This window comes from Homo sapiens, chromosome 7 (assembly GCF_000001405.40).
Source record: "Homo sapiens chromosome 7, GRCh38.p14 Primary Assembly".
Classification (NCBI taxonomy): Eukaryota; Metazoa; Chordata; class Mammalia; order Primates; family Hominidae; genus Homo; species Homo sapiens.
In genome coordinates this window covers 24,679,589-24,696,320 of record NC_000007.14, presented here as the reverse complement: position 1 = coordinate 24,696,320, position 16,732 = coordinate 24,679,589, and the positions used below count along the sequence as shown (strand labels likewise).

General features: G+C 35.7%; 1 protein-coding gene across 9 annotated transcripts in view, besides 1 other annotated feature; it reads right to left on the bottom strand.

The window, feature by feature from the left end:
* Positions 1-2,127: 2,127 nt before the first annotated feature.
* PALS2 (protein associated with LIN7 2, MAGUK p55 family member) overlaps positions 2,128-16,732 on the bottom strand; it is a 120,742-nt gene continuing 106,137 nt past the window's right edge. For all 9 annotated transcript variants that reach the window (NM_016447.4, XM_011515425.3, NM_001303037.2 and 6 more), the window contains 2 exons: positions 15,801-15,929; positions 2,128-8,883 (listed from right to left, as the gene is read on the bottom strand). In NM_016447.4, coding sequence (NP_057531.2) covers positions 8,707-8,883; positions 15,801-15,929 — 306 coding nt within the window. In that variant the 3' untranslated portion in view covers positions 2,128-8,706. The remainder of the gene's footprint in view (positions 8,884-15,800; positions 15,930-16,732) is intronic.
* Positions 10,121-10,717: an enhancer, noted in NCBI's record as "OCT4-NANOG hESC enhancer chr7:24725223-24725819 (GRCh37/hg19 assembly coordinates)". NCBI's record gives its function as "activates a minimal SCP1, AML or CMV promoter by ChIP-STARR-seq in naive H9 embryonic stem cells {active_cell/tissue: H9 hESC(naive)}" and the evidence as "EXISTENCE:reporter gene assay evidence [ECO:0000049][PMID:30033119]".

Below are 16,732 nucleotides of genomic sequence, written 5' to 3'. Positions count from 1 at the left end.
CCCTGATTTTAGCTTGGTGATATTTGTGTTGGACTTCAGACCTACAGAAGAGGTAATAAATTTGTGTTCTCTTAAGCTGGTAAATTTGTGGTTGTGATAGAAAACTAAGGTAGTATAAGATGGAAGAATGAAGAAGATAACATCTAATTCCTCTGGAGACATCAGAGATACACTGTACTAGCAATTTCTTAAGTATGAGGTAGGCAATCCTGGAAATTAGCTTGGGCAAGAGTTGCAAAGGGCCCTGTCTGGAAGGAGGCTTCCTGCATGCACCCAGTGCCACACCTCTGTCTCTCGTCAGCCTGGTGGGCCCAAGTCCTCTCTCACTGCAGGCTGCAGTGCTGAGCTGTGTGCCAGAATGGGTCGGTTCATTCTCTTTCTCACCAGGATTTCTTTCATTCCTGGCTAGCTGGGAAATGGTCAAGAGTATTCCATGCCATCTCAGCACAGAAGCCTTGTTTTCTTGGTCCTATATTTTAACCTTCCCCAACACTGAAATTCTTTCCTTGAGTGTGTCTTTGAAAACCACCAAATCGGACTGGGATAGAGAAAACAATGATTAGGGCTTCTGTTGTAGAGGCAAGTGATCAATTTATTTATTTAGGTGGGAAACACTAAATGACTTTAGGGGCTTTTTACAAAGACTGTTATCACTTAAAAGAAATTACCTGCAGAAGACTGAAGCTGGACCGCTTCCTTACACCATATACAAAAATCAACTCAGGATGGATTAAAGACTTATATGTAAAACCCAAAACTATAAAAACCCTGGAAGACAACCTTGGCAATACCATCTGGGACACAGGAACAGGTAAAGATTTCATGACAAAGACACACCAAAAGCAATGGCAACAAAAGCAAACATTGACAAGTGAGATCTAATTAAACTTAAGAGCTTCTCCACAGCAAAAGAAACTATAAACAGAGTAAACAGCCTACAGAATGGGAAAAAATATTTGCAAACTATGCATCTGACAAAAGTCTAATATCTAGCATCTATAAGGACCTTAAATTTACAAGAGAAACCCCCCCCACCCCCGCCGCCTTAAAAAGTGGGCAAAGGACATGAACAGATACTTCTCAAAAGAAGACGTGTGTGTGGCCAACAACCACATGTAGAATAGCTCAATATCGCTGATCATTAGAGGAATACAAATCAAAACCACAATGAGATACCATCTCACACCAGTCAGAATGGCTATTATTAAAAAGTCAAAAACTATCAGATGCTGGCATGGTTGTAGAGAAATGGGAACACTCATACCTTGTTGGTGGGAGTGTATATTAGTTCAACTATTGTGGAAAGCAGTACGGAGATTCCTCAAAGAGCTAAAAGCAGAACGACCATTTGACCCAGCAATCCCATTACTGGTTATATACCCAGAGGAATATAAATCTTCCTACCATAAAGACATGCATGCAAATGTTCACTGCAGCACTATTCACAATAGCAGACACAAATCAACCTAAATGCCCATCAATGACAGATTGGATAAAGAAAATATGAGATATATACATACACCATGGAATACCATGCAGCCATAAAAAAGAATGAGATCATGTCTTTTGCAGGAATATGGATGGAGATGGAGGCCATTATCCTTAACAAATTAACACAGGAACAGAAAACCAAATACTGCATGTTCTCACTTCTAAGTGGGAGCTAAATGATAGTATCTTATAAACACAAAGAAGGAAACAACAGACACTGGGGTCTACTGGAGTGGGGGGTGGGAGGAGGGGGAGGAGCAGAAGAGATAACTATTGGGTACCAGGTTCAGTATCTGGATGATGAAATAATATGTACAATAAACCCCTGTGACACGTGTTTACCTATGTAACAAAACCTTCACATGTGCCCCCAAACCTAAAAGTTAAAAAATGCAAACAGTTAAAAAAAATTATCAACGCTAATCAGATATCCTCCATTATTATCTCTAAACCTTAGTTCTACCTATAAATGAAACACTTTTTTCCAATAGTAAATATTTCTTTATATATACAAAAATATTTTACCAGGAGTATATAATCTCACAGATTAGACATTTCAATAATTTTTGTTTTGGACAGCACATGGAAATATGTGAAAAGATTTATAGGGACAGTTTCTGAAAAATCAATACTTAATTGTACCACAGGAAAATTTTATTTATACAACAGCAATAATGTTTCTTTTATACAGAAACTAATAATACAATTACCTGGAAAGCAGTAGCAATTAATTTTTCTTTTTAAACTTCTTAATCAGAAACTTTAAGCAGCTTGTTCAGCTTTGATTTTCAGATTGCTAACAAGCATTCTGCCCTCCATTTTTTTTTTTAAAGATTCTCTTCTACAGTTACTTCAAAAACTAGAGGTTTAAAAAAGCATGCGTCTTGTGTTCAAATAAAAGACTTACCAAAACGAACTGGCGTGGGGGGAAAAGGAAGAATAAAAAATTCCCACAGCAAGGTTTTCACATCAAATACTCACCATAGGCTCCAACAGAGCTCAACATAACATGGAGAAATTGCACTTGTTGCTGAATACTAGTGCTCATTCTTCTACAACAGAGTCCAACATATCACTTCTTTAAAAAAAAATCAGTGTTACTGAAGAGACAGGAGCCAGTCAGCAGTTCTTTTTAAAAGAGAATACAGAGACATAAGAAATATTTTTATTGTATTTCAAATACAGATGTAGCTGAGCTATGCCTGAAATCTGGTTCTACCTGAAAAGATGGAGGCATTTCTCATTTAGACCATGTTTACCAGGACAAGCTTTATGTCTTTAAAGCAATGTTACTTACACTACTGTCCACCTCTCCTATTTAAGAATAAGATGAAAACCACACATTTTAACTGGTAATGACTTCTGGTTTAATGTTGGTAATTTACAGCTGATGAGTTTTTACATCAGATGAGTATGCTTTTTTCCTGTTTTAGTTAATTAGGCTTCCTCCAAGCTCCTAGGCTACTTTGATAGGAGGAGAGCCAAATTTCATATATGACCTGTCATATTTATGTATGTTCCTTCCCCTGGCTTGCTGTTGGCTGAAGTACAATAAAGACATCTATTTCCAATTTTAAGACCTTTTTGGCTTCTGTGGTAGCAACACCACCTATTTCATAAGATTCAAAGACAGTTGCTTTACAAGCAGTAAATCACTCAATCTTCTGATTGGTGGCATTTACCTTAACTATAGATGTGTTCATTCCATTTACACTGGAGATTAGAAAACAGTAAGAGCCAGTAGGAGGGGAAAAAAAGGAAGAGAACTATCCCTTCTGATCGACTTTTGTATGTGGAGATAAGTCAAATTTATCACACCATTGCATTATCAGCCAATGACTGAGAAGCAATTACAAAGTAATAACTAAAGTGGATTAATATCTGGATTTTGAGGTTCACAAACTAAGACCTCACTGTGAATGTTTCTTTCTATAAAGAAATAGATGCCTTTTTAAATTAATGGTATGGGTAAAACAGTAGGGCTGCAGTGATTTCAGGTATGCAGTGATTTCAGGTATAAGGATAAAGTAGGACAGTTTTCGGGGGCAAAGATCAGAGTCTTCTGGTGTAACCGAGTACTGGATTGCTTGCTTACATTTTGTTTGATTTGTGAGTGGTCTGGTTGGCAGCAAGGATTTGCTAAGGGTTTGGATTTAGTATGGGATTATAAGATAAAAGGGACTTTCTGATTAGGACTAAGAGAGCAGAACAGACCTTCCACCAGCTGAAACTGTATCTTTGGGGCTATTTTAAAACTGGAAGAATTCCTGAAAAGTATTCACCATTCACTACATTACTTCAGAAACAGGTACACTTTAAAATAACTAAAAGAGAACAGATAAAGTAGCCTAATAAGGATTTTTCAGTTCACCATATCACAGCTACCACATCAGAGTTACAAATTACAAATCAGAATTTAAGGCGAAGACAAATATTAACTTAGCCTTACTTAACAAGTAGAATAGTAATGATAAAGGGAAATATAAATTTCATCGAAGATCACACAGTCAGAAGTCAGAATTAGGATCTTGGCCAGTACCCTGTCTTTACTTTTATCACTAGAGAATATTTTTTAAAAAGTACTGCAGTGTATTGCCAAAGTGGTGTGAACCATGCTTACTTTAGAAATGAGATATCATCATTCTTTCACTGTTTAGTATATTAAGGACTCATGTTCGAATCTCTGCATTTTTCAAAAACTATTCCAAGAACACAGAAGCTAGCATGATGAATTATGGGAAATATTTTAAAAAGAATATAAATTGCAAAACGTTAGAACAAAAATGCAATTTAAAAATAACCTTACCTTAAAAAAATTATAGAACTGTCATCTTCCTCAGGTATACAATATATGCTTGCATAAAAACTGACAAGATGCTCAATTATTAGTCAAATGTATTCTTAAATTTTGTGAGTATTCATTTGTACTATATACAATAATCCCATTATTTAAAAGAATGAATTTCTCCCAAAAATTCCAAATACATTACAGATGTTATTACATGAATTCTCACAGCAAACCTCTTGAAATAAGACAAGGGCAGGTATCATAATCTCAGCCTGAATCATATTAAAGATTCATTCAAAAGTTTAAATAAGAATTTCCAAAGGGGTTTCCATCCAGAACCCTGCCCTTTTTCCCTAAGAAAATTAAATTTATTATAATAATGACTACTTTCTGAGTTTCTCATATATTTTTCAGAAAGATTATCAGCTTCAAGGTGGAACCAGAGCGTTTTAAAACAATCTAAAAAAAGTTTCAGAATGTCAAAGAAATGGGAGTAATTAAAAATTTTAGAATGCTAGTTATAATTACATGAATGAATACATTCAGTTTTATATTCATACATTTTGGGAGAATTTTACATATTATACACATAGCTGTATATATATATATATATATATATATATATATATATATATACACACACACACACACATACATAATATATGGCAACTCGAACATTTAAAAAATGAACTGCTATCTATGTACATAAAACTTCAGGATTGCCTTTTTCATGTTTAGTTAAGGTTCATTACTACAAAATTATTGGCTCTCTAGCCTGTGATTTCTGGATAATGGAGTACTGTTTCAGAAGTTACAAAAGTAAAATTTAAGTAGATTATTATTTTGAGCAATTTTCAAAATTGTTATCTTTAGTTTGCCAATTCAAAATAATTTTACCTAACTCTATGGCTATCCACCTTGAAAATCAACTCCAGTCACTGGGATCATGACACTTGTTATACATAAAAATAAGTACCATTTAATAATTTTTAAACCAAGGATCATTTTTTATTGTCATTGGGATATTATGGTCAAAGCAGTTAGTATCTGGACATAATCTATAATGTCACATGGTTTTATTGCTAACTTGGGTTATTATCTAAATTTGCCTTAATAATCTATTTGTTGCTTTAAAGGAAACTTCTTAAGAACTACTATAAATTTATTGGATTCTAGAATCTAGGATTTAGGCTACTAATGCTGTAGGCATACTGGGTTTCTCTTATAATTTCTATTTCAGAAAGCTATGTTCAGCAATTGTATAGTTAGAGTTAGCCAAAATAAACAAAGTCCTGATGTATTTGACATGTGATATTACCAAATATCACACAGAAATGGAGACTGCATAATAAAGGCATGGCTGTAATGAAAGTGAAAATTCTACTTTTTAGGGCCATCACATTTATTTCACTAAGCTATGGTTAAATGACTTATCCAGGCACATCACCTCTATGGGTATTTGTACATTTGAAAATGAAAAAATATATATATAGTCTTAGGTTGTGTACAGTCATGCCCTGAGTGCTGAAATGTGGACACTGACCTATCCACAAGGAGCCCTCAGGCACATTAATACGTTGGCACATCATGTTTCCCAAAAGCACATGCATGTGTGTGTCTATTTCAACTCTTAACAATTGCTCAACACCACTCTAAACCATTTTCGCTTCCATAAAGCTAATTATCGCAGATCTTCCCAAAAGAGAAGTTCACATTTCCTTGATCACAGCTATACTCTCATTACCTAGGAAGAACCCTGGGACCTCTGGGGCTGTTTGCCCCCGCAGAGCACTGCTCATTCCTGCAGATTCATTTGGGACTTGGGTTTCAAGTTCAATGATTCTTCATTGAGATACAATGAACTTATCTAACTGTATTCTTGTTAGTACGGGCATCTAGACTGAAATGAACTAAACTGCATCATTTCATTTTATATTAGGAGAAATCTAATGTGCATTAATTAAGTAGTCAATCATGAATACCATTTATAATAGAAATAATTCCTTTAAGTATATTTTCTAAGTAATACATTTTATATCACATAAGGCTAATATACATGATGTAAAAGTCATCTATTGTACCAAGATGATTGAAATATTTTGCAGATAAACTTCTTGTGCTGCTATAATTATCCCAAAGCTGTTTAAAGAGGCTCCATGCTGCAGCATGAAAGTACATTAGAGAATACAGCACATTTCCTGAGTGAAGAACTGAAATTTCTCTTAAAATTTCAAGTGTGTGTTGAAACATTGTCATAGGGCATCACCTTGATACTGTGCTTTAATTCATGTTGCTTTGAGAAGCCAAGAATTTGGTGTAAACACATGTAGTTTGAAAGTTTCCACTGTTATTAAAATAGTATAATCCATTTTGTCACCAATTCCCTGTCCTAGGACAAGAAACGTGAATTTGTGTTCTGGCCATGAAATCTAGAATCAAAAAAAGAAAAAAAAAAAAAAAAAGAAAAACCTATAGATTTCCAACTTTAACAATATGACAACTTGGGTGTTTTGTTTTATTGTGAAAAAGATTTTAAACAATGTGTCAATACTGCCTATTGTCATATATTTTCTTTTCCTTCAAAGTCCTCCCAGCTGGCGTTCCAAATGACAACTTTGGTGAGGGAAAAAACAAATTCAGCAGCCAGGTGTCTGGCACCTAACACCAGACAAAGATGACCATCAATATTTAAACACCTAATCCTTTAAAGTGTGAATAATGTTTACATGAAAAGCTAGCAACAATACAGAATGTGGTTACCTTAATTTAATAATGAGCTGCATCTCTGAGTATGTTTTAGGAAGAATTTCTATTATCCAAGAATCCTAAAGGAAGATATTAACTGAGGTGAATGTGGGAATTTGTATAAGTCAATGCTTCTAAAGGAGAACTTCTTTCGGTAATCATTAAACAAAAAGTACACTTCTTGGCTAGGTGCAGTGGCTCATGCTTGTAATCTCAGCACTTTGGGAGGCCAAGGTGGGTGGATCACTTGAGGTCAGGAGCTCGAGACCACCCTGGCCAACATGGTGAAACCCCATCTGTACTAAAAATACAAAAATTAGCCGGACATGGTGGCACCCAACTGTAATCTCAATTACTTGGGAGGCTGAGGCACGAGAGTCGCATGAACCCAGGAGGCAGAGGTTGCAGCGGGCTGAGATCGCGCCACTGTACTCCAGCATGGGTGACAGAGAGAGACTCCATCTCAAAACAAACAAACAAAAAAACAAAGTACATTTTTTAACAGATATGTAAAAAATATACAAAACATTTTATATATATTATATAATACATAATATACATATTATATAATGTATATATTTTGTGTGTATGTATACAAAATAGCTGACAATTATTTCCCAATTTTTTAAGTTGTTCAATGGGTTTGGTTCTCAACACAACAGACAAAACAGGTACCCTAAGGATCACATCACATTTCTAAAAGCACAAAAACCTCCAACTGCAAACTTAGAGGCATCTCTAAACATCACTAAAATTTGCAGAGGCATGATACATTTGCTGACCATGTTCTAATAAAACCATTGTTTAAAGTAGTAGGTTCCTTTTGTCAGTCAAAATTTTACATGTGAAAATAAACTTTCTTCAAGTGTCATTTTGCTGTAAGGTTTTACAGGATAAGGCACTCTCTCAGTCTGCATGACCTTGCTTCCAGCCCCAGAGCTTACTGTGTACATGTTAAATTAGTTAGCATCATATCACTGCAACAAATAAAAAGAATAACCTCAAAAGAGAGTGCAAGGTATTGCTCTTCAATTTTTCAGTAAAGATAGAAATGAAGAGACAAAACTAATATAGCTGTATAAATTAGAATGGATAGCCATACATCTCCGAAATAATGAAAATACGTAAACTGATCAGACTTTTGATGTCAGATTTAGATGGTAGTAGACTAGCTATAACACTGACTTAAAATTCTGCTTTTGTAAGAAATTTATAAGAAGGAAGGTCAATAACTATATTTTCTTCTATTAAGACTAACCCTTCACTATTTGAATACTGAACTAAATGACAGCTTTACAAAACTATTTCAAGTAATATTCATTATCACAGTGAAAATATGAGACCAATGTTAGAGTGAATGATTTGAAAATTCCTTTGATGAAAAAGGCAAGGGTACTAAATCAAAACATATACAAAATGCTTCAACGCATTTCTTTATGTGATATGAATAGAAAGATTATCCATACAAAGTTAGAAAAATTAAGATAAATTATATATTAGTACACCTTCCAACCACATTTTATATAAAAATTCAGAAGTGTACTATTATTTCAATCTACACCATAAAAATGCCTGGACTTAGCAGATAATCTTCTATCTGTGATGTATTTTCTCAGTAGAAGGTTTATTTGTTGCAGTCACTTTTTAAGAGTTTAATTTTCATTGTTAACCTTACTGAATCATCAGTAAACCCAGCTGATTGGGACCCACTGTGGTTCCATTCTCAGTTTCTCTATGGCAGTTTGCAGTTTTTCAAAGGCTTTGTCTAGATTATCATTTATGATGATCAAATCAAAATAGTGGTTGTATGCTCTCTGAATCCGTGCACTTTCATCCACTGTTTTCTTCAAGTCAGAGTCCTGTTGAAGAGTTTTAAAAGGAAATGTTTGTATTACAATGCATATTTACTTGCTCAAACTCCAACTAGAAGTGAATATAATAAATAGGTTAGATATATTTCTGGTAATTCTGGTATTAATCTTCAAAATCTAATCCATATAGTGTTAAAGACAACACTGCCATCTGTTCATGTCTTATTCTTTCCAACAACACTCATGTTTACATTTATGAGTATTCTGCATCTTTTGCCTCACTTATATTAGGATAAAATTCCTAATTAAAAGACTGCTGAAAATAATCTTGGAATGAATCTACAGTAACAAAACAATTACTGCAGGTGACTGGTTTCCAGCTCCACTATATCATCCTTTTCGAAAGATTTTTATCTCATGGCCCATGTACAACATGGTACCCAATTTGCAGTGGCTGTTAAGCTCAAAGCCAAACTTGCTACCTCTCTATAAGATCAGAGAATCTTAGAAGTGTTTTTTGAAGATTAACCTTACATGCTGCCCATCCTCCACCAAAACACATACTCACATACTTTTATTTATGTTTTTGTCCAGGCACTGTTTATATTTCATAAAGTAATTTTAGTCATTTTGGAATGATGTGGGGAGTACATAAGCAATGGGTTCTACATAAGTAAAGCTTTTCGTAAGATGGTGTTTTGAATTTCACTATACCTCTACATATTCTACAAATATTTATTGAGTTCCTATTAAGGTGTCTACTATGTTTCAGAATCAGTGGGTATGACAATGAATAAGAGAGAGGGTTCCTATCCTTTAGTGGAGGAGATAAAGTGGAAATAAACATAAGAAATACCAAGTTGTGATAACTACCATGAAAGAAACAAAACAGGCACAAAGAATTTTAAGAGATCTACTTTAGATAAAGTGATTGGAAAAAGACTGAGTAGTAAATTACAGTTAAGCTGAGAACTAAATGAAAATAAGGAGGTCAGCATTCAGGCAGAGGAAACAGCAGGGCAAAATCCAGAGGAAGGAAACGACCCTGGCACGTTCAAGATACTGAAAGAAGACCAGAATGGGTGAAGGGTTGGGAAACAAGGTAAGTCATGGAGGACCCCTACGAGATGGAAAGACCTCTGTGGGCCTTGAGTGAAAATGTGGCATGACATGAGTGGAAGCAGGGAGACTGATGGCAGGAATCCAGGTCAGAGAGAAGGGTTGCCTAGGTTATGATGGTGACAGAGGAGATGAAAATGACACCAGACTGTAAATTTATTTTGGTGATAAAATAATCAGGATTAGCTTTTTACATCATCCAGGATTTGAAAAGGGAGGAAAATGAATGAGTCAAGAATTGCTCTTAGGTTTCTAACTTAGGTAAATGGGTGGCTGTGGGAGATACAGAGTTGAGGGGTAGGGAGAGCATAATTTCTGGGGGAAACAAAGTGTGCTACTTTGTAATATGGTAAGCTTAAGATGTCTGTGAGACATCCAAGTGGAGATGTACAGCAGGCGACTGGTTATGCAAATCAGAGCTCTGAGGTCTGGGCTAGCTGTATATAAATCATTAGCATAACAATGGCATGAATGTAAATGATGTTGATGGAAGCACTCAACAATGTCATTTGTGTAGAAAGTGTAGAGAGAGAAGTGGATTCACTGCCAGGCCTGAAGGACCCTAATACTTACATTTCAGCTGATACTGAGACTTCTAAATGAGTTTGAAACAGCTAAAATATCTTTGATCACAGATATGTAAACAGGCCACATTTCAACTTGAAAGCAATTCTTGCCTATTAGCAATCTGATTTGTTAAAAAAAAAAAAAAAAAAAAACCCTGTTAACAATAACGGAGTATGCCATACAGATGGAACAGGAATAAAGATTCTCTCTCTGGCTATAGAGTGGTCTCTAGGATATACTGGTATTGGAAAAATGCAGGCACATTTTGTACATAAGGTATGATTTATGTATAAAATGGGGGGGAGGAGGAGACACAGGCACACTTGCTTATACTGGAAACTAACATGGTAAAATGGCTACCAATAATGGCAGCCTATGTGGGTGGGAGGAAACAAAGTGGAGAGGGCACAGAAAAGCTGGATTCGTTTTAAGATTTATGTTGGAGCAATGAAAATGTTGTATAGAATTATACAACAAAATTTAAATTCAAATTACAGCCATTCTTAAAAATCAGAAGCAAAATAAAACAAATAAACCTGTGTTTCAAGTTGGTGGTTTAACCACACAGCAAGGAATTATTTCAGTGGCTTTAAAAGAAGATAATATCTAGTGGGTTATAAGTGGGAGGTGTACAATAAGAACACATGGTGGGATTAACACACATTGGGGCCTGTCAGGGTGGGAGCACGAGGAAGAGAGAGCATCAGGAAGAATAGCTAATGGATGTTGGGCTAAATACCTAGATGATGGGTTGATCTGTGCGGCAAACCACCACGGCACACATTCACCTATGTAACAAACCCGCACATCCTGTACATGCACCCCGGAACTTAAAACAAAAGTTGAAGGAAAAAAAAAATCTAGTGGGATATATCCTAAGAACAATAAAAGCCTGGAACTTAAAACTTTTCAATAATCATATTGTTAATACAGATATAACTCAAATTACATATGTGCTTAGTTTATTTATATTTATATACATGTAAGTTAAGAAATGATGTTATCATCAGGAACCAAGGTTTTCAGGATAAGAGGAAAAAAAGGCAAATATAAAGCCCAAGAAGAATAATGTAAAATTTCATTTGAAGCTATCAAATTGAACTAATGATGTATGTTTTCTAAAAACAAAAAATTTATTTCCTACTTCTGGTTACTGAAAAGGTCTAAAAACAATGTCCAACTAAGTTTAATGTACACCCTTACTGACTGAATTATCTTTAAATGCTATCTCCCACTAAAAGAAACAAGGGCTTCTGGATGGCTGGTTCCAGGTCTGGGCCAGGAAATGTAGAATAATCTGGAACATCTTGTCATATCAGAAAGCAAGGAATTATCAGACATTACTAGAATCATGTTAAAAAGACTCAGAAGCCAAGTTGAATAGGCTCCTACTGCTGAAGACACAACAATTTAAACATTAAAAAAGAATAACTGACCTAAATACACAGAAAGGAGGTACTTCAAGTGACTTTAAAACATAGTGATCTCCCTGGCCAACATGGTGAAACGCCATCTCTACTAAAAATACAAAAGTTAGCTGGGTGTGGTGGCGCATGCCTGTAGTCCCAGCTACTTGGGAGGCTGAGGCAGGAGAATCGCTTGAACCTGGGAGGCAGAGGTTGCAGTGAGTCGAGACTGCACCACTGCACTCCAGCCTGGCGACAGAAAAAAAAAACAAAAAAACCCCATAGTGATCTGACTGTATCTACTTAGTGGGATATACTCTAAAGACAGAAAGACCTAGGTGGGCAGTTGGGGGGACTGTTCACAGTAATGATACTAGTGGTGGTTATGTTGATATACTTATTCCCAGAATGTTGTGTTTGTACTGTAGAATAAAGCAAATGAGCAATTATTTGATATTCTAATTCTAACATTTCCAGTGTTATGAGAAGGGATATTCAGCATAAGAGAAAGGAATTAGACATATAAGATAAAATAAGTTAAATAAAAATCCTGTAATCTTGAATTTGATTGGAAAATATCAGAATAAATTCATGATATATTTTCCTTCAAATATACAAACAGAAAAGCATATATGCTAGCACTGTCCACATAAAAAGGTCTAGCAAGAAGCAGTGATCAACTATGTGACAATGGGCACTGTTAGTATTATGGTCTTAAAACACCATTTACCCTAAAAGAAACCAGAGTATCTTGGAAAAATGGCTGATTCCTGGCCTAGAACAGAAAATGTACAAGATGAGCCTGGAACATTTGTTCTACCAGATAGCAAGGAAGCTATCCAAGACTATCAGCGTCATGAAAAAAAAAAAAGGTCTCAAGGGCCAACTAGAATAAGCTCCTATTGGTCAATGATGGGACAATCTTAGCATCAATAAAAATAATCACTGCAACAGAATAAAGCACACCAGATAAGTTTGAACATACGTGCTCATGAAACTAAAAAAACAAAGCCAATCTCAGCTGGTCACCTGTTACCTCTAGAGGCTCTTGGGGAATAAACTCATTATTCTGAAAGCTGACCTACAAAGGACAGTATCAAAGATGTATCCTGCCTTTCCTGTATCAATCGTACCTCAGAATAATCAACTACTTGATGAGGAAAAGTTCTTCTTAAGAATTCTAGTTTATAAATGTAGAAGGAATGACAAATTTAGAATACTACCACCTTGCCATCCCTAAAAATATAATTTATCCAAGGCAAAGATCAATAAAGTTTGCTAAAACCAGTAGGTAAAGAGTTACTGAGGAACTTTATAGATCAGGCTAACAACTTCTGACCCCACTGATTAATCTTATGACAAAAAGCCTGACATATGCCTCATGATGTTAATAAAACAAGTACCACCTATGAATTATTCTTGCAAAAACCAACCAACCAAAAACCTGAATAACCTGAATCTGTGTCTGACCAACCTCTAGATCAACCTATCAGTTTACAGGAAATAGAAGGGATAGAGGAAAATGATACAATGGGGACAGAATGGGTAAAATCCAGACTATGGAACATGCTGTAGGATAAGTGACTTATTATTATTATTATTATTTTAACAACTAAAGTACAATGTGAAAAGAGAGGGAAGGGAGGGTGGCAGTGAGAATTTACAGATTTAAAGGGATGTCTGCTTTTAGCCAAGGTGGAATAACAGGCACCAGACTAACTCTCCCACCTAACAATTAATTTATGGACAAAATGTATCAAACAACACTTTTTAAGACACTATACATCAAGGTATTAAAAACAGATCATAGAAAGACAGAAAACAAATGAAGTGACTCTTATGATTACCCCAGCTTCCTGGCTTGAAAGAGTTTCTGGGCAGTAGGATGGGGAGAGTGAGCCCAAAGGAGCCTACAGGACTCTTGAGTTGAGGACAGAGCTGAGTCCAGGGAGACCCAGGTGGCAAGAGTTTGCAGGACGGAATGCCAGAGGGGAAGAGCAGCACAGACAGACTTTGGAGACTTGTAGAAGGTCTCCTTCCAGCATTCGGCTGAAGTACCAACCTGCACATTGGTACAACGACCTGAAGCTGAGAAAGAACCACCAGAAAGGATTAGAGGTACCCAGGAATGGTACCTATTCCCCCTTAGCCAGAACAGAAAATCTCATGACTCACAAGCCCTGTGGTAGGAGTACCAAATGGGTCTTGCCTTATTTGTGGGGATTAACTGGCCCTAAAATGAGAACTGCTTGGGTCTTACCTAACACATTTAAAAAGTGAGACCTGAAAAAAACAAACTATTTCCAAATAACTGCATCCTAGAACAAAGCTCACAATGTCTGGCATCCAAAGAAAGTTCCCAGGATTGCAAAGAAGCAGGAAGATATACTCATAATAAAGAGAAAAATCATTCAATCAAAACCAATCCAGAACTGACTCAAATGTTAGAACCTGCAAAGACATTAAACACTATGTTTCATACGTTCAGAAAGTAGAGACATGGATCAACTTGAAAAAGAACAAAGAAAACTAATACTACCTGATTTCATGGCATATAATCAAGTACAGTGAGGGGAAAAGGTGACAGTGGTAGGGGGAAGGGTGTGGGGAGCAGGTTACAAAGGAGCACAGGCGAATGTGTGGAGATGATGGACATGTTCATTATTTTGGTTGTAATGGCTTTCATGAGTACAAATATGTGGCCAAACTGATCAAGCTGTACATGTTAGGTAGGCACAGCTTATTATGTGTCAATTATACCTCAATTAAGCTGGCAAAAGATTTAGGTGACAATGAGTAAATTCAATGTGTTGATCTTGTTTGAATCCTTATTTGAACAAATCAACAGTAAAAAAAAAAAAAAAAAAATCTTGGAGAAACTCAAATATAGACTGCATGTAGATGATAGTAAGATACTGCTTATTAATTTTTGTTGTATTAATGGTATGTTTTAAATGTCTTTATCTCTTAGATATAAATACTGAAGTATTTACAGATGACATGATATCAAAGATTTGCTTCAAAATAATTCAAGGTGAGGAGGAAGTGGGGAGGGGTCTAATTAAAACAAGAAATTGCCACGATTATTGAAGCTAGGCGATCGGCATAGGGACTCATTTATTCCCTCTTTTGTATATATTTTTGAATTTCCATTAAGTAAAAAAGTAGACAGGAAAAAAAGGAAAAAACATGTAATAGAAACTAAACATCAGAACACCCCACTTTACCAATGATAAACCATATAATAAACATGCCTGTTAATGATCTCGGAGCCCAGTTACCCCACTAGTAAAATGAAGGCGTTCAATTAATACGCATATTTTAATATTGGTCCATTTCATTTTACAAAGGGGAACTAAACTTTTGATTTAAAATAAAGTGTACAATGATTTTCAAGTAAAAGAATACTGTTCCAGATCCTAACTACATCTAATTAATTTTCATTCTGTAGCACCTTATATAGCATGTTTATTTCATAAGCATAATTAGCTAAGAGTTGGCCAGGCACGGTGGCTCACGCCTGTAGTTCTAGCACTTTGGGAGGCCGAGGTGGGCAGATTGCCTGAGGTCAGGAGTTCAAGACCAGTCTGGCCAACATGGTGAAACCCCGTCTCTACTAAAAATACAAAAATTAGCCAGGCCTGGTAGCGCATGCCTGTAATCCCAGCTACTTGGGAGGCTGAGGCAGGAGAATCGCTTGAACCCGGGACGGGGAGGTTGCAACGAGCTGAGATCGCATCAATGCACTCCAGCCTGGGTGACAAAGCAAAACTCTGCCTCAAAAATAAATAAATAAAAATAAATTAGATAACAGTTAAACATGCTCAAAAGAAAAGGAAAGATTTTAGAAGGAAAATCGTATGGTTAGCTCACGGTCAGAAGCTTGGTAGTGATTCCTGCATCCACCACAGCCTTGTGCATGGCACGTAACGTCTCTAGCTCCGGAGCCGCAATAAATACCACATAGGGCATAAACTCTGATGTCCTCAATACTTTCAGTGCCTGTGTAAAAGAATAATTATAAGCCAATTTATACAATATTAGAACTAGAATTCTGCTACCCTTTAGTATATATCAAAGGCTGTTTGCACTTGTTCTATGAATTAAAGGACATAACTTAATACTTATCCCTGTTCTGTCCTTCTCATTCCATATAGTACTTTCTTAAAACAGTGATCCATTTATTTTGTTTTGAACTCAGTCTGTTCCTCTTGAACAAAGTATAAAACAATGATCCAAAAATCATCAAGAGTGATGTAAACTCTTTTTTATGTTAATTGTAGAATTCTGTTAATACTCAAAAAGTAGAAATAACCTCAATGTTGATTAATTGGAGAGTGGTTAAATGAATATATATTCATACTATATAGCAATTACAAAGAAAAAAAGCTCTACAGTAACTACCACAAAAAGATCTCCAAGGAATAGTTCTATTTAATAAAACCCCTGAAGAATCTATATAGAATTTTTCCATTTATGTAAAAAGAAACAACAAAAACAGAAAACCCATTACCTTATATATATTTGTATTTAAGGCATAGTGAAATGACTAGAAAGAGACATAAGAAACTATTAACAATTTTTATCTCTGAGTAGGGACGTGAGGTTGGGCTGAGTGTAGCGGAGTGGGAAGGGGTAGGTGACAGAAATATAGAGTGACAAAATGAATAGTGTAGAGGTGTGCATGTGTGTCAGGTAGGAGGGGGAGTGACTTTAATTTTTTATTCTTTATATTGCAGACTTGAGTTTTAAACTTAACATTTCTTAACACAAGCACTTATGCATTACTTGAACAGGTAAATAAA